General features: G+C 46.5%; 2 protein-coding genes and 1 pseudogene across 39 annotated transcripts in view, besides 4 other annotated features; 1 reads left to right on the top strand and 2 right to left on the bottom strand.

Annotated features, from left to right (window-relative positions):
- DEPDC5 (DEP domain containing 5, GATOR1 subcomplex subunit) overlaps positions 1 to 12,405 on the bottom strand; it is a 154,066-nt gene extending 141,661 nt beyond the window's left edge. For 23 of the 38 annotated variants that reach the window (NR_157128.1, NR_110988.2, XR_007067997.1 and 20 more), the window contains exons 1-5: positions 12,209 to 12,354; positions 11,394 to 11,511; positions 7,740 to 7,827; positions 5,671 to 5,717; positions 1,313 to 1,398 (exon numbers count right to left, since the gene is read on the bottom strand). Coding sequence is in view for 32 of the 38 variants with exons in the window: in NM_001242896.3 (NP_001229825.1) it covers positions 1,313 to 1,398; positions 5,671 to 5,717; positions 7,740 to 7,827; positions 11,394 to 11,451 (279 nt within the window). In the remaining 6 variants the exon portion in view is untranslated. Of the gene's footprint in view, positions 1 to 1,312; positions 1,399 to 5,670; positions 5,718 to 7,739; positions 7,828 to 11,393; positions 11,512 to 12,208; positions 12,355 to 12,376 lie in introns of those variants that run through there. The other 15 variants (NR_157126.2, NR_157125.2, NR_146296.2 and 12 more) reach the window with 2 other exon arrangements.
- Positions 8,875 to 9,171, bottom strand: RN7SL20P (RNA, 7SL, cytoplasmic 20, pseudogene; annotated as a pseudogene).
- Positions 12,280 to 12,589: a silencer, noted in NCBI's record as "silent region_13638". NCBI's record gives its function as "represses an Ori minimal core promoter by ATAC-STARR-seq in GM12878 lymphoblastoid cells {active_cell/tissue: GM12878}" and the evidence as "EXISTENCE:reporter gene assay evidence [ECO:0000049][PMID:35858748]".
- Positions 15,800 to 16,359: an enhancer, noted in NCBI's record as "active region_18871". NCBI's record gives its function as "activates an Ori minimal core promoter by ATAC-STARR-seq in GM12878 lymphoblastoid cells {active_cell/tissue: GM12878}" and the evidence as "EXISTENCE:reporter gene assay evidence [ECO:0000049][PMID:35858748]".
- Positions 16,016 to 16,310: an enhancer, noted in NCBI's record as "tiled region #5994; HepG2 Activating DNase unmatched - State 1:Tss, and K562 Activating DNase unmatched - State 1:Tss". NCBI's record gives its function as "activates a minimal TATA promoter and a strong SV40 promoter by Sharpr-MPRA in HepG2 and K562 cells {active_cell/tissue: HepG2 | K562}" and the evidence as "EXISTENCE:reporter gene assay evidence [ECO:0000049][PMID:27701403]".
- Positions 16,241 to 22,787, top strand: part of PRR14L (proline rich 14 like) — a 68,786-nt gene continuing 62,239 nt past the window's right edge. The window contains exon 1 of the mRNA NM_173566.3: positions 16,241 to 16,380. The gene's annotated coding sequence lies outside the window, so the exon portion shown is untranslated. The remainder of the gene's footprint in view (positions 16,381 to 22,787) is intronic.
- Positions 16,599 to 17,231: an enhancer, noted in NCBI's record as "NANOG-H3K27ac-H3K4me1 hESC enhancer chr22:32145128-32145760 (GRCh37/hg19 assembly coordinates)". NCBI's record gives its function as "activates a minimal SCP1, AML or CMV promoter by ChIP-STARR-seq in primed H9 embryonic stem cells {active_cell/tissue: H9 hESC(primed)}" and the evidence as "EXISTENCE:reporter gene assay evidence [ECO:0000049][PMID:30033119]".

The following is a 22,787-nucleotide window of genomic DNA, read 5'->3' as shown; positions in this document are numbered from 1 at the left end:
TGTAGCACATTGAGTGTGATGGGTAGTGGGGGACTCATTCTGTATTTTAGTCTGGATTCTGGCACACAAACATGACACTTACCTATGTACTTTATTTCCCTATTAATGTCAATAGTACTTTCTGGACAATAATTTTTATCTATTATAACATCACTTCTTGAAGAAAAATGAGAATACATTTTAAAATGTTAGTATTTTAATAGAAAGTTTTACATATAGTTTCACATACAGAAAATGGTTAGGACAAGCTTCAAGAAAAGTGGTGGTGGGTTTTAAATGCAACCTACATACTGCCTACATTCTAAATGACATGTAGGCTACATATTTATTTAGTTATTATTATTTTTTGAGACAGGATATTGCTGTTGCCCAGGTTGGAGTGCAGTGGCACGATCTCAGCTCACTCACTGCAGCCTCCGCCTCCTGGGCTCAAGTGACTCTCATGCCTCAGCCTCCCGAGTAGATGGGACTTCAGGGGTGCGCCACCACACCCAGCTAAGTTCTGTATTTTTAGTAGAGACAGGGTTTCACCATGTTTCCCAGGCTGGTCTCAAACTCCTGACCTCAAGTCATCCGCCTGCCTTGGCCTCCCAAAGTGCTGGGATTACAGGCATGGGCCACCACCCATGGTCTACATGTTTAGTTTTACAAGACAAGGTCTTGTTCTGTTGCCCAGGCTGAAGTGCAATAGCGCACAAGCAATCCTCCTGTTGCAGCCTTTCACGTAGTTGGAACTACAGGCATATACAACACACCCAGCTAATCTTTTAGAAAAGTTTTAGTAGGCAGGACGCGGTAGCTCCTACCTGGAATCCCAGCACTCTGGGAGGCCAAGGCAGGTGGATCACCTGAGGTCAGGAGTTCAAGAACAGCCTGGCCAATATGGTGAAACCCTGTCTCTACAAAAATACAAAAATTAGCTGGGTGCGGTGGTGCAGGCCTGTAATCCTAGCTACTCAGGAGGCTGAGGCAGGAGAATGGCTTGAACCTGGGAGGCACCAGTTGCAGTGAGCCGAGATCACGCCACTGCACTCCAGCCTGGGCAACAGTGATACTCCATTTCAAAAAAAAGAAAAAGGAAAGTTTTAATAAAGACAAGGTCTAACTATGCTGCTCAGGCTGGTCTTGAACTCCTGGCCTCAAGTGATCCTCCTGTCTCAGCCTCCTGATGTACTGAAATTACCACACCTAGCAGGCCACACATTTAATAGGCTAACACTACACTTAAGTAACCCATTGTTTCCTTAGTAATCTAACCTTGAGGAAGGGTGCTTATTCCAAAAAGATATTCAAGTACAAAACAAAGACATACCTTAGGGTCTACGACATTAACATAGACATCCTGATAAGGTCTCAGCCGGAACACTTGAGTCACAGTCTGGTCCACACTGATAGTTTCTAAAACAGAAACAATATCTGGCTCAGATAACATATTTTGAAAAAGCAGATCCATATATTCTAATCTATAAACACTCAACTCAGTAAGCAACACAATTGATCATCTGACACGGGCAACACACAGTCTCTTCCTTTCAGGAGCTTAGAATTTAAACAATTCTCTGCTTTTTAGGTGAAATAAGACCAGAGCCTAAGCAATCAACAAAAATGGAGAGAAAAAGGGAGAAGGGAGGGAAAATAAAGAATTTAAGAAGGAAGAGGCTGGGTATGGTGGCTAACACCTGTAATCTCAGCACTTTGGGAGGTCTAGGCAGGAAGATCACCTGAGGTCAGCAGTTCGAGACCAGCCTGGCCAACATGGTGAAACCCTGTCTCTACTAAAAACACAAAAATTAGCCAGGCATGATGGTGGGCGCCTGTAATCCAAGCTACTTGGGAGGCTGAGGCATACAAATCGCTTGAACCCCAGAGACAGAGGTTGTAGCGAGCTGAGATCGTACCACTGCACTCCAACCTGGGTGACAGAATGAGACTCTGTCTCAATAAATAAATAAATTAAATAAGAAGGAAGATAAGAAAGTTCAAAGACCTGTAAAACTCCAGAAGAGAAAGGAGATCTTCTCTTTGGAATGAAGTTATCAGTGGTAAAGAAGAAACAAATTTTTCAATGAGCCCTTAAGTCTGGTAAGAAACGTAACATGGGGCAGGAGATAAGGGGAAGGTATGAAGGCCATTCTTAGGATTAAGGTTTTATAGAATTCTTTTAAAATCTTTAAATTGGCTGCATGTGGTGGCTCAGCAGATCATGAGGTCAGGAGTTCAAGACCAGCCTGACCAACATGGTGAAACCCCGCCTCTACTAAAAATACAAAAAAAATTTAGCCAGGTGTCGTGGTGCGCACCTGTAGTCCCAGCTACTCAGGAGGCAGAGGCAGGAGAATTGCTTGAACCTAGGAGGTGGAAGTTGCAGTGAGCCAAAATCACACCACTGCACTCCAGCCTGGGCGACAGAGGGATACTCCATCTCAAAATAACATAACATAACATAACAAACATAACATAACATAACATAAAAAACATAACACCACACAACATAACAATAAAAATGAAAACTTTAAATTTTTTTTTTACTGCTCCTTGCAGAGCAGGGATAACCCATAGGCAGCGTAACCAGAGTAGCCAGGTTTTATAGAATGTTTTCTCCTCAAATTGAAATATTGAATTGTTAAATATGAGTGGATAGCCAGGCATGGTGACTCATGCCTGTAATCCTAGCACTTTAGGAGGCCAAGGCATGAGGACTGCTTGGGCCCAGGAGTTCAAGACCAGCCTGAGCAAAAATTAAAAAAAAAAAAATTAGCCAGGCATGATCCTGTGGGCTGGGCGTCTGGGGTCTTAGCTACTCGGGAGGCGGAGGTGGGAGATGGAGAATCATTTGCACCCAGGGAGGTTGAGGCTGCAGTGAGCCGTGACTGCACCACTGCACTCCAGTCTGGACAACAGAGAGAGGCCCTGTCTGAAAGGGAAAAAGAAAAAAAAAAAAGGCAGGGGCAATGGTGCAGTGGCTCACGCCTGTAATCCCAGGACTTTGGGAGGTTGAGGCAGGCAGATCACCTGGGGTGAGGAATTTGAGACCAGCCTGGCCAACATGGTGAAACCCCATCTCTACTAAATATATAAAAATTAGGCCGGGCATGGTGGCTCATGTCTGTAATCCCAGCACTTTGGGAGGCCGAGGAGGGCGGATCACGAGGTCAGCAGTTCGAGACTAGCCTGGACAACATAGTGAAACCCTGTCTCCACTAAAAATACAAAAATTAGCCAGGTGTGGTGGCGTGCACCTGTAATCCCAGCTACTGAGGAGGCTGAGGCAGGAGAATCCCTTGAATCCAGGAGGCGGAGGTTGCAGTGAGCTGAGACCATGTCATTGCGTTCCAGCCTGGGTGACAGAGTGAGACTCCATCTCAAAAAAATAAAAATATAAATATAAAAATTAGCCAGGCATGGTGGTGCACGCCTGTAGTCCTAACTACCTGGGAGGCTGAGGCAGGAGAATCACTTGAACCCAGGAGGCGCAGGTTGCAGTCAGCCAAGATTGTGAGACTGCACTCCAGACTCCAGCCTGGGCAACAGAGTGAGACGCCATCTCTTTAAAAAAAAAGAAAGAGTGGGTGACATCAAAGCCCTTTATTTTATTTATTTATTTATTTAGAGACAGAGTTTTGTTCTTGTTGCCCAGGCTGGAGTGCAATGGCGTGATCTCAGCTCACCACAACTTCTGCCTCCCAGATTCAAGCAATTCTCCTGCCTCAGCTTCCCGAGTAGCTGAGATTACAGGCATGCGCCACAATGCCTGGCTAATTTTATATTTTTAGTAGAGACGGGGTTTTACCATGTTGGTCAGGCTGGTCTCAAACTCCTGACCTCAGGTGATCCACCTACTTCAGCCTCCCAAAGTGTTGGGATTACAGGCGTCAGCCACTGCACCCAGCCATCAAAGCCCTTTAGAGCAACCCAGAATTTTGTTTTTTTCTCTTAAGAACTATTTAAAAGAGTATCTTATTTACTTTCAATTAACATTTTGGTTCCTTGAACAGCATGGCATAGCCATTAGAGGGAAAAAGAAAGGATTTGAATCCAGAATAAGTAAGCAGGAATCACTGCTTCTGGCTACGCCTAGACTGTATAGTCCGGCAGATAATAAACTTCCTCACTCACTCAAGAGTTGTTGGGAAGATAATGCTAGATTACACAAAGCTCCCAGGATAGTACCTTGCACAATGTGGTGGGCGATCATCAATATATATTTCTTCCTCCCCAATCCCTACTCACCCAGAGTAGGCATTTAACAAATAGTTTGTGAAAAAATGGGACAGATGTGGTGGATCACACCTGCAATCTTAGCACTTTGGGAGGTCAAGGTGTCAGGAACTCCACTTGAGGCCAGGAGTTCAAGACCAACCTGGGCAACAGGCAGGTTGTGTATTTTTTTTTTTTTTTTTTTTTTGAGCCGGAGTCTCGCTCTGTCGCCCAGGCTGGAGTGCAGTGGCGTGACCTCGGCTCACTGCAACCTCCGCCTCCCGGGTTCAAGTAATTCTCCTACCTCGGCCTCCAGGGTAGCTAGGATTATAGGTGCATGCCACCACACCCGGCTAATATTTTGTATTTTAGTAGAGACAGGGTTTCACCGTTTTGCCCAGGCTGGTCGCAAACTCCTGAGCTCAGGCAATCCGCCTGCCTCAGCCGCCCAAACTCCCAGGATTACAGGCATAAGCCACCGTGCCTGGCCTATTTTTTTTTTTTTTTTTTTTTGAGATAGGGTCTTGCTCTGTTGACCAGGCTAGACTGCGGTGGCACCGTTATAGCTCATTGAAACCTCAAACTCTTGGGACCCAATGATCCTTCCACCTCAGCCTCCAGAGTAGCTAGGACTATAAGCGTCACTTTACAATTTTTTTTTTAGTGGCAACATAGTTTGATAAGAAGAGAACTACAGTCATAAAAAAATGGAATCATGTCCACTGCAGCAACATGGATGGAGTTGGAGGCCACCATTATCCTAAGTGAACTAACTCACAAACAGAAAACCAAATACTGCATGTTCTTACCTATAAGTGGGATGGAAATAATAGACACTTGGGACTCCAAAAACAAGGACAGGGAAGAGAATGAAGGTTGAAAAATACAATGTTCAGGCTGGGTGTGGTGGCTCACGCCTGTAATCCCAGCACTTTGGGGGGCCAAGGCAGGAGGATCATGAAGTCAGGAGATTGAGACCATCCTGGCTAACACGGTGAAACCTCGTGTCTACTAAAAATACAAAAAATTAGCCAGGCGTGGTGGCAGGTGCCTGTAGTCCCAGCTACTTGGGAGGCTGAGGGAGGAGAATGGTGTGAACCCAGGAGGCGGAGCTTGCAGTGAGCCGAGATCGCGCCACTGCACTCCAACCTGGGTGACAGAACAAGACACTGTCTCAGAAAAAAAAAAAAAAACAATGTTAAGACACAGATACAACATTCTTTATCTGTATCTGTTCTGTCAGATACAAGGTTCACTGTGTAATGGATACAATAGAAGCCCAATCCCCACCAGTACACAATATACCCATGTAACAAACATTCCCATGTACTGCCTGAATTGAAAGTTAAATTAAAATTTGTTTAAAAAAGAAGAGAATTACTTGCCCTCATCCCTTGAAATTATGAAGAGAGATTTCTTACAGTTTCTGAGGCAGTAAATAAAAAATTCTAAGAAGAGTGATATAATTCTTACCCTTCTGTAAATCTTCCTTAAGAGACTTGACCTGCAAAAGCAGAGGGCTGAAAAAGAAAGCAACAAGAGAGTTGGGATACCGTGAACAGTAACTCCCTAGCAACCTTCATCCCCGACAAAAGGCAAATAGGTCACTCTGGCCATTCTGTGACTTACAGCACAACAACGGGAGAAAGCTCCCTCAGAAACAAAGAAACTCGGCCAGGTGCGGTGGCTCACGCCTGTAATCCCAGCACTTTGGGAGGCCGAGGCAGGTGGACCACGAGGTCAGGAGATCGAGACCATCCTGGCTAACACGGTGAAACCCCTTCTCTACTAAAAAATAGAAAAAATTAGGCCGGGTGTGGTGGCTCATGCCTGTAATCCCAGCACTTTGGGAGGCCGAGACGGGCGGATCATGAGGTCAGGAGATCGAGACCATCCTGGCTAACACAGTGAAACCCCGTCTCTCCTAAAAATACAAAAAAATTAGCCGGGCATAGTGGTGGGCGCCTGTAGTCCCAGCTACTTGGGAGGCTGAGGCAGGAGAATGGCGTGAACCCGGGAGGTGGAGCTTGCAGTGAGCCAAGATTGTGCCACTGCACTCCAGCCTGGGCGACAGAGCAAGACTCCGTCTCACAAAAAAAAAAAAAGAAACAAAGAAACTCCATACGCACTAAAGGAAATGGACAAATGCTACAGAACCTTTCAGTTGTCATCTCAGCTTTAAAACCAGAAAGAGGCTGGGCTCGGTGGCTCATGCCTATAATCCCAACACTTTGGGAGGCCAAGGCAGGTGGATCACCTGAGGTCAGGAGTTCGAGACCAGCCTGGCCAACATGACGAAACCCTGTCTCTATTAAAAATACAAAAATTAGCCAGGTGTGGTGGCCCACACCTGTAGTTCCAGCTACTCGACAGGCTGAGGCAGAAGAGTCACTTGAACCCAGGAGGCAGAGGTTGCAGTGAGCCGAGGTGGCACCACTGCACTCCAGCCTGGGTGACAGAGCGAGACTCTGTCTCTTAAAAAAAAAAAAAAAAAAAAAAGGCTGGGCGCGGCAAGGTAGCTCATGCCTGTAATCCTAGCACTTTAAGAGGCCAAGGCAGGCGGATCACGAGGTCAGGAGTTCGAAACCAGCCTGACCAACATGGTGAAACCCCGTCTCTACTAAAAATACAAAAATTAGCCAAGCATGGTGGCACGCGCCTGTAATCCCAGCTACTCAGGAGGCTGAGGCAGGAGAATGGCTTGAACCCGGAAGACAGAGATTGCAGTGAGCCAAGATCCCACCACTGCACTTCAGCCTGGGTGACAGAGTGAGATTTCATCTCAAAAAAAACAAAAAAAAACAAAAAAAACAAAAAAAACGGCTCGGTATGGTGGCTCATGCCTGTAATCTCAGCACTTTGGGAGGCCTAGCAGGATGGATGACTTGAGACAAGCCTGGACAATATGGTGAAACCCCATCTCTACTAAAAAACACAAAAATTAGGCCAGGTGCGGTGCCTCATACCTGTAATCCCAGCACATTGGGAGGCCAAGGCCAGTGGATTACCTGAGGTCAGGAGTTCAAGACCAGCCTGGGCAACATGGTGAAACCCTGTCTCTACCAAAAATGCAAAATTAGCTGGGCGTGATGGCGCATGCCTGTAATCTCAGCTACTCGGGAGGCTGAGCCTGTAATCTCAGCTACTCAGGAGGCTGAGGCAGGACAATCACTTGGGGCTGGGAGGCAGAGGTTGCAGTGAGCTGAGATTACACAACTGCACTCTAGCCTGGGTGACAGAGCTAGACTCCATCTCAAAAAAAAAAAAACGAAGGAATGGACCACTTTTGAAAAATTATTTGTTGATCAAATCCTAGAAGGCATGATCATTTTTTTTTAAGACAGGGTCCCTCTATGTTGCCCAGGCTGGTCTCGAACTCCCGGGCTCAAATGACCTACCCACCTCAGCCTCCCAAAGTGCTGGAATTACAGGATTGAGCCATCACAGCATGAGCATTTTGAAAGGCAAAGAGAGCTATCTGCCTTGGACATCATTTGGAAACAGTGAATTGCCCAGTTCCATGGATCCTATGAGACACTCACCTGTATTCATCGTTGGGGTGTGCAATCTCTACAATGTCTCCAAGCTTGATGTGAGGGAACACTTTGGGGTTCACAACTAGCTCATCATCTGAAAGACAATTCAGCCACTTCAAGTAGAAAAACACTCATTAGGTACACTGTATGTTCTCATACTGGTTCCTCACAACCCCATCAGGATGGTATTGCCACCCCATTGACAGATGAGGTTCTATTTTGAAACGAGGCTTACAATGACTAATGGATTCACACAGGAACACCAAGCTACACAGCAGCAGAGTGGGATGGCGCTCAGGTACCTTTGTCTCCATACCCTGTGCCCTTTCTACTACCGCACTGCTTCCAGGGGCAGAGCAGCCCTTAGTATCTGGGAATTAGGCTTCTGGACAGCCTTTTACCCCCTCAAATATTGTGTATCTGGCATATAACAGGAACAAAACAGGCTGGTTCCCACAGATACAGCACAATTCGTTACAGTTATTCAATGTTCAAAGAATTTCCCAAACAGTGTCTTAATGTGACCGTCACAATAAATCTTTAGATCTAACAGGAGTAAGAAAATAACCTCAGAGAGTCCAGGAGCAGTGGCTCATGCCTGTAATCCCAATACTTTGAGAGGCCGAGATGGACAGATCACCTGAGGTCAGGAGTTCAAGACCAGCCTGGCGAACATGGCGAAACCCCGTCTCTACTAAAAATACAAAAATTAGCCAGGTGTGGTGGTGGGAGCCTGTAATCCCAGCTACTTGGGAGCCTGAGGCAGGAGAATCACTTGAACCCGGGAGGCAGAGGTTACAGTGAGCCGAAATCACACCACTGCACTCCAGCCTGAGTGACAGAAAGAGACTGCATCTCAAAAAAATAAATAAATAAAATAAGAGGGATGTGGTTTCATGTTTATCTACCCCTGCCCCTCTACTAGGGATGGGGAGAACTCTATCAAATATTGCAAACTCAGAAGCATAAAGACAGAATGACTGTTTTGCTGTTTTAATTTGCAAGGAAAGACATCACCTTTAATTATGCTAATATCATGACAATTAAGTTTATCTAGATTTCAAATATAATCAGACCCAACAAAAATTTAGCCTAGTAAAATGAAACATTGGCTTACTCCCAAATTTTTTTGTTTTCTTTTAGAGATAAGGTCTTGCTGTTGCCTAGGCTGGCGTACAGTGGCTATTTACAGGGACAATCCCACTGCTGATCAGCACAGGAGTTTTGACCTGCTCTGTTCCCAACCTGAGGTGGTTCACACTTCCTAAGGCAAGCTGGTGGTCCCCCACTCCTGGGAGGTCACTATATTGATGCAGAACTTAGTGCAGACACCCAATCAGCATAATGTACTATAGTCTGGAACTCCTGGGCCCAAGTGATCCTCCTGTCCCAGCCTCTTGAGTAGCTGTGACTACAGGCATACACCACTGCACCCAGCAATCCCTAATTTTATTTGCTATGTTTCCACTGACAGTTTCACGACAAATGCTCTTTGGAGCTTCCTCCCTAATTTACATAGTCTGAATTAAGGTCCCTGAGAACATATCCCCTTCTGCTTGGTTTTATCATTTCCTTTTTGCATGTCTATCTTACCAAACTGAAAACTCTTTAGGGACAAAGAACCTTGTGGCATTCATAATCATTACGTCTGGCACAGGTATACACCTAATAAATATCTGTTGGTTGTTTCTTTTTTTTTTATTATTTTTTATTTTTTTAAAGACAGGGTCTTGCTCTATTGCCCAGGCTGGAGTGTAGTGGCATGATCTCGGCTCACTGCAACCTCTGCCTCCTGGGTTCAAGCAATTCTCGTGCCTCAGCCTCCCTAGTAGCTGAGATTACAGGCACGCACCACCACACCTGGCTAATTTTTGTATTTTTAGTAGAGATGGGGTTTCACTATGTTGGCCAGGCTGGTCCTGAACTCCTGACCTCATGTGATCTGCCCACCTTGACCTTCCAAAATGCCAGGATTACAGTCATGAGCTACCATGTCCAGCTGTTAGTTGTATTTTGACCTATAGTCTTGCAGAAGACTGGATACAGCATCTAACTACCTTTGTATTTTATACATAAAAACATGTATTTGTATACGTTGTATATACTGTATCCTTGTATTCTTTTCTCTGCCAAAAGTTATTTGCTTTATTCCACTCCACAAATATTTAGGCAACATCAACAGCATCAAAGTAATAACAATAGACTGTGCATTTTAGCAGAAATTGTAGTTTAAATATAGCAATGCCTGTAGCCTGGTAATTACAATGGCTACATTTATTGAGCACAGAGTCTAACACTCTGCTAAATGCATTACATGTATCACTTTACTTAAGCCTCACAATGCTCTATGATAGAGAAACTATTGTTTTCCCTTTTTGGCAGTCCTTCCCCTCTGGAGGCTTATACCTACATAATGTAGAAGTAAATACACCCTAAAATACAATGTTAAAAAGACTCATGCCAGCGCGGTGGCTCTTGCCTGTAATCCTAGCACTTTGGGAGGCTAAGGTGGGCGGATTGCCTGAGCTCAGGAGTTCGAGACCAGCCTGGGAAACATGGTGAAACCCTCTCTACTAAAATACAAAAAAAAAAAAAAAAAAATAGCCAGGTGTGGCGGCATGCACCTGTAGTCCCAGCTACTCGGGAGGCTGAGGCAGAAGAATTGCTTGAACCTGGGAGGTGGAGGTTGCAGTGAGCTGAGATCACGCCACTGCACTCCAGCCTGGTGACAGAGCGAGACTCTGTCTCAAAAAAAAAATGCCAATAAATAATAAAATAAAATAAAAAGATTCATTATATTGTTAACTCCAATTTCTGAAGTAAATAATGCTGTTAAGACAGAATGGAAAATTATTCCCTTACAAAAGAAAAAAAAATTATACTAAGTGCCCTTTTATTCTTCAGATTTATGGATTCAAGGCACTAAGGAGAGCTGGGTACAGTGGCTCACGCCTGTAATCCCAACTATTAGGGAGGTTGAGGTTGAGGTGGAAGGATCTTTTGAGCTCTAGAGTTCCAGACTAGCCTGGGCAACATGGGGGACCGTGTCCCAAAAAAAAAAAGAAAAGAAAAGAAAGGAAAAAAAATAGATGTTAAGAGAAACTATTCTAAAGCCCTTCAACTTTCAGATAAGGTACACTAGGAGCTTGCCCAAGGTCACCAGGAAAATTAGAAGCAGAGTAGATACTCAGACTATAGCTCAGTGCAGAATAACATGCTGTATCCTGCTCCTTCTTCCCATGCCTACAAGCCAGGCAAAGGTTCATGCTTTGATCATACCTGCTCTATGCACATCTATGCCACTTCTCTCTCACTCAATGTAAAAACTGATAAACGATTTTAGTTTCTCTTATCTGCCAAACCAGTGCAGGCTGGAATTTTATGGAACATACACGGAAGATTTGTAATTAATAATGCAATTCAACAAATGAAGGGTAGTAAACCGGCAGCATTCACAATGTTCCTTAAAAGTCTGAATGCAAATGCATTAGAAGGGTCCTGCCATCCTCCTATTGTTACTGTATGACAGTTGCTGCTTTAGTCTGTTTAGTCGCCTGTTTAGCCTCAATTGTCACACGAGTCAGTGTGTAATTTCTAGGTATTGCACACACCAGAACCTCAGCCAACTTACAAAACCTCTAAAGACCAATCGATACTGACCACTGCCCCCAAAGCCCTTCTTGTGGATGACGAGTTTGTAGACCTTTGTTGTTCTCATCTTGCACTGTTTTTCCCTTTAGCTGTTCCAAGCTTGGGGCAGAGAAGTCATCTTGCCTCCCTGCCACAGAAATACAAACGAAAAGGTTGGAATGTCAGATTTTTCCTTGCAACCACTCTTTGATTTTAGGCCAGTGAAGATACTGGTGTTCCTCTGCTGTGAAGTGGTGCCAAGTGACTCTCGGAAGAAGTCACTCCTCCAGTTACAAGGAGCGATGGAGAACAAATAGAACCACAGAATCCAGGAACTAAGGGGAATTCGGGCCAGGGGCTAGTCAAACCTAGGAGAAGATATTCTATCACACCCCCATAGGGGAAGCATTGCGCTGAATGGGTGCTCATCACCTTGTCTCCATCTACACCAATAACACCCAAATAGTAAAGAGATCTTAAAAGAGGTTAGCCCACTCATTTTGTAGATGATGAAAGTGTGACTCCGGGCAAGGGACTTGCTCAAGGTCACTCGAGACTTAAGAGACACTCCCACCATTCTCGTTTTGCTGCCAATGTCCTGAGCAAGGCAACCACAAAGAGGAGGAAGGCAGAAGTTCCTTCCCCAAACCTCGGTCTGTGCGAACTCTCAGCAGACCTTCCCTGACTCCGTTTCACAGCTGAGGCCGTTGAGGCTCAGAGAGGGAGAGAGACTTGTCCAAGGTCACACAGCGGAATGGGGATGGAGCCTGGAACTCGAACCTGGGCCAAGGTCCCCTATCTCAAGCCCCCCCAATCCCCAGTCCGGGGCGGGCAGCTCCACTCACCGAAGCTCTAGAGCCCCTTCCCGCCTCTGGCCGGGGCACTGAGGGCTGGACCCTCTCCAGGTTCCCTGCGCCTCCTCCAGATACCCCGCCTACGCCCGCGCGGCCCGCGCTGTTCCGCCCCTAAGCCTGAAGCGCCTACTAGGCCCGCCCCGACCGTGTAGCGCTCACCTGAGAACCCGCGCCGCTCCGGTGGCTCCGCCCCGGGGCCCCGCCTCCTTCCCGCCCTCGCGCCCCCGCGCCGCTCTCGCCGGGCCTCCGTCTCGTCTCGGTGGCCGCACCACTTCCTCATCCGGGGCTCGAGCCGGGGGCGGGGCGTCGTGTGCGGCCTCTTCCTTGGGCCACCTCCTGGCGTTTCCTGCCCTCGAGCACTAGAGCCTCCCGCCCCACGGAGGAAATCCATTTCCTCCTAGTCTATCCGAAGTAGATCCATGGCCACAGAGCTTCGTTTCCGACTCAGTGATCTCCCCACAGGGGAAACGAGATCCGTCAGAGCTCCGTTTTCTGTTATATGAACGAGGTTAATGACTCATGTGGCCTCATTGGGCAGCTAAGAGGCGCCAACGAGAGTTTCTGGGAGGACTTCTGTAAAATGCAAGGGGCTGAGCACGCGAGAGTTAGGGTGATGGCCTCTGCTGGGAAGTGTCCACTTACGGGGGGCTTTTCAAACCCTTGCAAACTCTAAACGACGTTCTGCGCCCCTCAGGTTATTAATAAGAATGGCTGCCGTGGCTTCATAGTCCTTATGTAATCATTGCATCCCTATTACCTGATGGATGCAGGAGGCAGATACTATCCTATTTCACAAACCAGGAAACAGCCTGAGGACACAAAACCCTTCAGAAGGAAGCAAGGACGAATCCTGACCCGTTCCCAGAACGGGGCCTTTAACCAACATCCTTTGGTCATACCCAGGGCACTGCCTAAACTCGCGTCTGTCAGGATATCTTTCTCTCCAAGCAGAAAACCAGAGAGCTGGGTGGGCTGGGTCAGGCTCTGGCCAAGGACTCCTGACAATTGCCAGCTCCGCCTGCTGCCACTGATACCCCCGCCCCCTAGTCCAGTCCACCGTTTCTGACCTGAGCGGCAGCAACTCGATAGGGACTCCCTGCTTCCCCTCTTGAAGCCAGAGAGACCTTATAACTAGAATCGGTGTCTTGGGTCACGCCTCTCCTCTGCTGCTTCTAATCACACTGACTGCTAAATCTAAACGACACAGCACTTGTCTTAAATTTCTTTATATCTTTAATACTAACAGTGCCCATTTCTTACGGATTTGGAAAACTTAAAAATGTTGAAAGAAAAAACATGTTACACTGTAGTGAAAGATTCTGCAGTGGACCAAGGGGACCCTGGGACAGGACAAGCAACGTTCTTAAGCATGGATGCCTTTATGTTGGGACTCAGGAGAAGTTAGGTAAATAATGCAAGTGTTAAGTAATTGCAATTTTTTTGTTTGTTTGTTTTTTTGTTTTTGTTTTGAGATGAGGTCACCCTCACCCAGGCTGGAGTGCAGTGGCATGATCCCGTCTCACTGCCATCTCTGCCTGCCTGGCTCATGCGATCCTCCCACCTCAGCCTCCTAGTAGCTGGGATTACAGGTGCATGCTCAGCTAATTTTTGTATTTTTTGTAGAGACGGGGTTTTGCCATGTGGCCCAGGCTGGTCTCAAACTCCAGAGCTCAAGTAATCCGTCCGCCTTGGCCTCCCAAAGTTCTGGGATTACAGGCACCAATCACTGTAGCCGGGCCTTTTTTTTCCCCCAAGACCAGGTCTAGCTCTGTTGCCAAGGCTGCAGTGCAGTGGTTCTATCATAGCTCACTGCAACCTCAATTTTCTGGGCTCAAGTGATTCTTCTGCCTCAGCCTCCCAAGGGACTGGGACTACAGGCCAAGCCACCACTCCTGGCTGAAATTGTTTATCTTGTAATAAAACATATGTGATACAGTGGATTGCAACAGTTACAAAATTTTTTAAGAATAACAATGTTATGTTAAAAAATGTTTCTATGTTGCCACTTCAGGAGATACACCTAGATCCCCCAAGATAGTTTTTGTCTTTAGCAATGGTGGTTGATGGGACATTCTTCCATCCCTGGGGAAGCTAATAGGATTCTCTCTTCTTAGCCCTCAAGGGAATTTGATTCCTTCTCCTGAGAGATGTCCATAATGGGACATCTTAAAAAGGCAAATTTTTTTTTTTTTTTGAGACGGAGTCTCCCTCTGTCGCCCAGGCTGGAGTGCAGTGGCCCGATCTCGGCTCACTGCAACCTCTGCCTCCCGGGTTCATGCCATTCTCCCGCCTCAGCCTCCCGAGTAGCTGGGACTACAGGTGCCCGCCACCACGCCTGGCTAATTGTTTATAATTTTTAGTAGAGAGGGGGTTTCACCGTATTAGCCAGGATGGTCTTGATCTCCTGACCTCGTGATCCGCCCGCCTTGGCCTCCCAAAGTGCTGGGATTATAGGCTTCAGCCACCACGCCCGGCCAAAAGGCAAATATTTTAACTTTTTAATTTGGCAACTCTCATAAAGAAACTCTGAAGGCCAGGAGTGGTGGCTCACGCCTGTAATCCCAGCACTTTGGGAGGCCGAGGCAGGCGGATCACTCGAGGTCAGGAGTTCAAGACCAGCCTGGCCAACATGGTGAAACCCTGTCTCTACTAAAAATACAAAAATTAGCTGGGCATGGTAGCATGCGCCTGTAATCCCAGCTACTCAGGAGGCTGAGGCTGGAGAATCTCTTGAACCTGGGAGGCAGAGGTTGCAGTGAGCCGAGATCCTACCACTGCACTCCAGCCTGGTGTCAGAACGTGGCCCCGTCTCAAAAAAAAAAAAAAGAAAGAAAGAAACGAAACTTTGAAGCATTCAATTTTTTTTTTTTTTTTTTTTTTTGAGACAGTGTCTTGTTTTGTTGCCCAGGCTGGAGTGCAGTGGGGGCACCATCATAGCTCAATGCAGCTTCAAACTCCTGGGCTCAAACGATCCTCCTGCTTCAGGCTCCCCAGTAGCTAGGAGCACAGGTGCATCAACACCTGAGCAATTTTTGTTTTGTTTTGAGAAAGAGTCTTGCTGTGTCATCCAGGCTGGAGTGCAGTGGCACTATCACTGCTCACTGCAGCCTCAACCTTCCAGCCTCAAGTGATCTTCCTGCCTCAGCCTCCAGAGTAGCTGGGATTACAGGCACACATCACCAGACCCAGCTGTTTGTTTTTTGGCAGAAACGATGTCTCACTATGTTGCCCAGGCTGGTCTCAAACTTCTGGGCTGAAGTGCTTCTCCCGCTTTCGCCTCCCAAAGTGCTGGATTACAGGCGTGAGACACCGCGCCTGGTCGATTTCTATTTTTTAACACAAAGCCGTATTATTTGGGGCAAGTCGATTTCATTATCTGGACCTCAATTCTTCCACTGGATAAACATTTCTTCCTTCCTTCAAATGTCCATTGAGCGTCTAGTTTTGTGCCGGACACTGCTCTTGGTGCTGAGCATTAAGTGATGAACAAAACAGACAAGGTGGAGGAAGATAAATGATAAACAAGTCAATAAAGAGATGAGACATAGAAATTTCAGCTAGTGTTAAAGCTATGAAGAAAATAAAACAAGGTTCTGTAACCAACTGGAGGCAGAGGTGCCATTTATTTAGTGGTCAGTGTGATTAGAAGAAGCAGAGGAGTGTCATGACCCAAAACACTCTTTCCAGTAGAATAAGATCTCTCGGGCTGCCAGAGTGGAAGCAGGCAGGCCCTTAGAATTGTAGCCGTCCAGACTAGAAAAACGGTGGACTGGAACAGGGTGACAGCAGCGAAGGCCGGCACTGGGTCCTGTGGCTCAGCAGGAGCAGAACCAAAAGTTGTGTTTCCCTTTAAGAGTTTGAGCCGCAGGGGCGGGGTTGAGGGAGGCTGGGGCTAGCAGAGGGCGGGAGGTCAGAATCAGGAAGAGCCTTCCCTTGGAGTGCGCGCGCGCGGTGCGGGGGCGGGATTTGGGCGAGTCCGCATGGCTGGCTCGGGCCCCGGATGAGGAAGTGCAGGGGGACCATAGAGACGAAGAGGTGGCGGCGGCCGGAGCGCCCCCGGCCTCTGTCGGCTCCGTAGGCTCAGGTAGACCTGGCGACGACGGGGCTGCAGCTGCAGGGGCTGAGCTGGCTGGGCAAGCGCGGGCCGCGGAGGAGGTCTCAGGGTAAGAGGCCGGGACTGGAAGGCTTCGGGCGTAGCCGCCCCGCCCCACTCCGCCCTAAAGGGACCCTCCGCCGGGTGGTGCTGCTAAAGGGGAGTCCAGGCCCCCCGCCCTCTCGGGGCGCGGAAAGGAACCAAGGCTGCCCTGTGGGCGGCGGAACGACCCAGGGAGAGGGAGGAGACCAGGCCCCGCGTCGCTAGAGAAAAGCGGCTTCTCCGAGTCATGGCTCCGACGCGGGAGAGAGACTCCTCTTCAACCTCGATACAACAGGGATCCCCCAACTTATCTCCTCGGAGAGGACGACGCCCCTTATCGGAGGCGTACGCTCTTTCTTAGCGCTCATCCGTTGGTCAGCAGAGGGAGACCCACTCCCAGGGTTCGAGGGGGATTCTGAACTTATCCTGAGGAGGAGTAAAAGATAACCCCTAAATGAGACCTTTCCCCCAACTTTGGTCAGCGTCACCCAGGTGAAGAGTGAGACCCAACTTGCCTGAAAGTGACAGAGGGGATCTTTCTTCCCAGTAAGAAAGAGACTTACCTTCCTCCTTTATTTTTCGCCTGTACCCCAAGATACGGAGAGGAAGACCTTGAAATTTTACTTTATGGTATCAGAAATCAACCTTTCTCCCTCTCCCCTCGTGATGTCCACAGAGAGACCCTCGCTTCTCTTCTTCCCTTTAAGCCTCTTGGTGTGCAGTGAGCTCCTTTCCCTTGCATTATTAAGAGCATGGCTTTTGGAGTGTAATCGTTGCAAACCTGGGTCTCTCACTTAACGTCTTTGTGACCTTGACTATTTGTTTAACTTGTCTGAATCTCAGTCCATCTCCAATTTGGGTTCTGTTTTCTTAGAATTGTCATGCGGGCTAAGGGAGCATTTGTGTAAATACTAGTTATATAGTAAGCTTTTGGTAAGCTGTTGCTATTACTATTACTTAATCTGTTAAAAAAGAAAACTAATATCTTGCACAGAGAAGCATATTTTTCCATGCATGCCCCTCGCAGCCTCCATCACAAGTGTTCAACCATCCTTTCTCACTGGAGTGGAAGACTCCCTCCCACTTAGGGGTTAGAGAAAGAGACACTTCCAGTCCCCTTAGATCCTGCTGTTCAATACTTTCCCAAATTAACAAAGAGGGCCTCACTGAAAATAATCAGTAAAAAAAAGACTTAGCTTTTGGAAACAGGTCTGTGCTCTTAAGAGAAAGTGAGACCTGATGCCAGACGCCAGCACTTCCTTTGTCCACAGAAGGTATCACTTCTTCCTGACTGGTTAGAGATGCCCTCTCCCACTTCCCTGACTTACTGTAGTGACAAAAAATCTTCCATCTGCACATCCTTCCCACCCCCCCAAGTGGGCGATTCCATATTCTTCCTGTCTTTTGCTCTCCCAAGAAAATGAAGACTCTATACCTTTGAGGAGAGATCTCTTCCCTCTTGTATATGGAAAATGACACAGATTGTTTCTTTTCTCCTTTTCCTTTATAAAACAGAGGAAAATCTTTTATACAGGAAGCCTCTGTCAGTAGAAATCAGGAGCATTTTCCAGTTTCACTCCTTACGTGGAGACAGGGATCCTTTTTCTGGATGTTATTAAAGGGAGGAAATGGGAAATAGTCCTTGATGCTTTAGAGATTTTCTGCACGCTCCATGTTGAAGCGCTTGCCCTGTTTAGTGTATGAACTTCCCTGCCTCACTTTTGGTTTGTCTTGGGATTTTATTAAAAAACTCTTCTTTCTTTGTTTCTCAAGAAGAGGCCCATTCTCCAAATTCCCTCTTGGAGGGAATGGCTACAATGTCTGAATCTTTGGAAAAGAAAGCCCCTTTCTCAAGGTGAAAAGAGTGTTGTGAGCTTCTGAGGGCCTGGTCATTATTGTGAGTATTGTTCCTGAAGCAAGCATGGCAGCGCCTAGTGTTATTAACAGCCCCTATGCATTGGAATTAAAGGGAGGGGAGACTTTCAGATTCGGGATTATTGAGGCACACGGTTTTATGTTCTGTTTTTTTTTTGCTTGTTGCTGTAAATTTTGTACCTCCAGAACTTTTGTTTTGGGGAGTGTTTGAATGACTAAAAGTTGCCACTTTGTCAGGTTTTTAGTGTTATAAAATGTATTCTGATGAGATTGAGAGCAACAATGTTAATCCTTCACTGGTAGGTTTGTTTTCCTGTTTTTGTTTTTTTTTTTTTTTGGTGGGATAGGAATTAACACTGCCAAATTACCTGAAAGCACACTAAAGAAACGCTTACCATCTTTTTTTGTATGTAAAGTGTTCTTAAATTACCTCAAACGCCGTTGAGTAATTGCAGAGGGGATTAGTGGGAGCTCTATACCACCATTGTTGGTGTCTGTAGGTGTGCTTTTCTGAAACAAAGGGAAATAGAAAAGTTATTCTTTGGAGTCTTAGGATATTTATGGGTGACAAGACCCTTTGAGCTTATTTTGATGAACATGTGAAAAACAAGCCCGGGAAAGTTCACTTAACTTTCACTTAACACACTCAAGACTCTGCATCTAGTATGTGAGAGCAGGATAAGGGACCCTGGCTTCCTGATGAAGAGACCAGCAGTTAAGACTGCTGGGAGAGGCCAGGCGCGGTGGCTCATGCCTCTAATCCCAGCACTTTGGGAGGCCGAGGCGGGTGGATCACCTGAGGTCGGGAGTTTGAGACCAGCCTGACCAACATGGAGAAACTCCATCTTTACTAAAAATACAAAACAAATTAGGTGGGCATGGTGGCACATGCCTGTAATCCCAGCTACTAGGAAGGCTGAGGCAGGAGAATCGCTTGAACCTGGGAGGCAGAGGTTGCGGTGAGCCGAGATCATGCTGTTGCACTCCAGCCTGGGAAACAAGAGTGAAACTCTGTCTCAAAAAAAAAAGACTCCTGGGAGAGGGTCAGGCGCGGTGGCTCACACCTGTAATCCCAGCACTTTGGGAGGCCGAGGCGGGCGGATCACAAGGTCAGGAGATCAAGACCATCCTGGCTAACTCAGTGAAACCCCGTCTCTACTAAAAATAAAAAAAATAAAAAAATTAGCCAGGCGTGGTGGCGGGCACCTGTAGTCCCAGCTACTTGGGAGGCTGAGGCAGGAGAATGGCATGAACCCGGGAGGCAGAGCTTGCAGTGAGCCAAGATCGCGCCACTGCGCTCCAGCCTGAGCAACAGAGTGAGACTCCGTCTCAAAAAAAAAAAAAAAAAAAGACTGCTGGGAGAAGTATTTGTGCGTTTGCAAAGAAAGAACATGAAATAATTGTCCTCAACGTAAAAGAATTTCTACTTTTACTGGAATAATAATTTTCATACTTCCTGTAAGTATTAGTCAGTTTTTGGGAATAAATCCATTCCCTACACATTCTAATATAGTACTTATTTGTGTTGTGATAAAGACGACAAGCCAGTAGCAGCTGTCAAAAGTCGTTCATAAATCTATGGTTTATTTTTTGCTTATACCTCAAACTAGGTAATTATCTGGTATCCTCACCCAATAGGTTGATTATAAGTCATTAGCAAAGATTAAGCTGTAAATCCCTGTCTACATTTTATAAGCATGTGTTACTCACTCTTCCCTTTTACTTCACATTTAACACTTTAATGTAAAAGCATTGGTGGTTAAGGCAGAGAGCTGACAGCTGGAAAAATACTGATAAAACATACTGATAAAAAATACTGAAAATACACTTATCAGCTGTTTTTATTGCTGTGTGTTTAGATCTTGAGAAATAATGGTTAGACAACATTTTAACATATGTAATATATACTCACTGTTTTGAAAAATAAGTACAAGGCTGGGTGCAGCAGCTCACTCTGGGAGGCCGAGGTGGGAGGATCACTTGAGGCCAGGAGCTCAAGACCAGCCTGTGCAATGTAGTGAGACCTTGTCTCTACAAGAAATAAAAATATTTGCTGGGTTCACTGCCTCGCGCCTGTAGTCCTGGCTGCTTAGGAGGCTGAGGCAGGAGGATTGCTTGAGTCCAGAGTTTGAAGTTATAGAGAGCTGTGATCAAGCCACTGCATTCCAGCCTGGGCCACAGAGACCCTATCTCCAAAAAAAAAAGTTCAACATACAGATAAGTCATTGGTGATCCTATTGTCCAAGGTAACACTGTGATACTTGGCTTATATATATATATATATTTTTTTTTTTTTTTTTTTAAACTGAGTCTCCCTCTCACCCAGGCTGAAGTGCAATGGCGCGATCTCTGCTCGCTGCAACCTCTGCCTCCCAGGTTCAAGCGATTCTCGTGCCTTAGCCTCCCAAGTAGCTGAGATTACAGGCTCCTGCCACCACGCCCAGCTAATTTTTGCATTTTTTAGTAGAGATAGGGTTTCACCATGTTGGCCAGGCTGGTCTTGAACTCCTGACCTCAAGTGATCTACCCGCCTCAGCCTCCCAAAGTGCTGGTATTACAGGCATGAGCCACCACGCCCGGCTGTAGAGATGTATTTCTACATCATCCTTTTAGATTGCTCCATTGCATTCAGGAATTTAAAGAACTTGAATGTCTTCTCAAAATCGGGTTCTGTCACTGCAGTCTTGTGGCATTACCAATATTTTGATAGATGGTGTGAGCTACTGAGCTGAAAATAAGTTTATTTTTATTTTTTATTTTTTATTTTTTGAGACGGAGTCTCGCTCTGTCGCCCAGGCTGGAGTGCAGTGGCACAATCTCCGCTCACTGCAAACTCTGCCTCCCAGGTTCATGCCATTCTCCTGCCTCAGCCTCCCGAGTAGCTGGGACTACAGGCGCCCCTCACCACACCCGGCTAATTTTTTGTATTTTTAGTAGAGACAGGGTTTCACTGTGTTAGCCAGGATGGTCTCGATCTCCTGACCTCGTGATCCGCCTGCCTTGTCCTCCCAAAGTGCTGGGATTACAGGCGTGAGCCAAAGCACCCGGCCATGTTTAACCTGCCACTCTAGGCTTGCATTTAATATCACCTCACCTCTTAGGGTTCCAGCTGTTCTTGGTAACGTATCTGCAATTCTGTTCAGAAATTTGAGGACCCAGAATTAGTCCAGGAGAAAAAGGAGGGGGTGTCTGTTTTGGTTCTCTAGCCAATGTGCCTAGTTGTTTTACAGGTTGAAATTCTTAGAATTTGGTCCAAACAAGAGTATCAAGAGGTGAACCATTTTATGTGATTATCAGTATTCACTGTTTATGATAAAGATCTGTTTAGTAAACCTGTATTTGTGTATGACCGTATGTGGAGCAACATTTGGAACAAATGTTGAGCTAGAACTGTGGGGATGGAAATGAATATGATTTACTAGAAACACTGCAGGGAGTTGAGTCCACAGGCTGCAAGTGCTGATTGAATGGTGAGGGGAAGTCAGATATGGTTATGGCTGGGGATTCAAATCTAAGCTCTAGAATATTGATGGTGCCTTTTCTGAGAAGCAACAGGATTAAGAATCAGCATGTGGCTAGTCACAGTGGCTCACGCTTGTAATTCCAGCACTTTTGGGAGGCTGAGGTGGGAGGATTGCTTGAACCCAGGAGTTTGAGACCAGCCTGGGCAACATAACAAGACATACAAAATTATCTACAAAAATAAAAAAGTAGGCCGGGCATAGTGGCTCACGCCTGTAATCCCAGCACTTTGGGAGACCAAGGCGGACTGATCACCTGAGGTTGGGAGTTTGAGATCAGCCTGACCAACATAGAGAAACCCCATCTCTATTAAAAAATACAAAATTAGCTGGGTGTGGTGGCAAATGCCTGTAATCCCAGCTACTCAGGAGGCTGGGGCGGGAGAATCTCTTGAACCTGGGAGGTGGAGATTGTGGTGAGCTAAGATCGCACTGTTGCACTCCAGCCTGGGCAACAAGAGCGAAACTCCATCCCAAAAAAAAAAAAAAAATTAACCAGGCATGCTGAGGCAGAAGGAGTTCAAGGTTATAGTGAGCTATGATCGCACCACCACACTCCAGCCTGGGCGACACAGCAAGACCCTGTCTTTTTTTTTTTTTTTTTAATGAATGAGCATGTAAGTTTGCTGAGGGCGTCTTATTTATACCTGTTTCTCAAAGCTGTTTGCGTGTAGAAAGACTCAAAGACTCAGTTATTCAATAGATTGAATGAATTCTGTTTTAAACTTGGTAAGTTTTGGGGGTGCCATTCTTGCAAGTGAAATGTAGGTTAGGAATTGAAAGAAAGGTTGGGGTCAAGGTCAGGTTCTTTTTTTTTTTTTTCGAGGCAGGGTCTCACTGTGTCACCCAGTCTGGAGTGCAGTGGCCCCATCTCAGGTCACTGCAGCCTCCGCCTTCCAGGTTCAAGCGATTCTCCTGCCTCAGCCTCCCAAGTAGCTGGGATTACAGGCGTTCGCCAACATGCCCAGCTAATTTTTTGGATTTTTAGTAGAGACAGGGTTTCACCATGTTGGCCATTCTGGTCTGGAACTCCTGACCT

The sequence above is a fragment of the Homo sapiens genome, chromosome 22 (genome assembly GCF_000001405.40).
Source record: "Homo sapiens chromosome 22, GRCh38.p14 Primary Assembly".
NCBI classification, from domain to species: domain Eukaryota; kingdom Metazoa; phylum Chordata; class Mammalia; order Primates; family Hominidae; genus Homo; species Homo sapiens.
The sequence above is the reverse complement of the archived record's forward strand: the minus strand, read 5'-3'. Positions and strand labels throughout refer to the sequence as shown.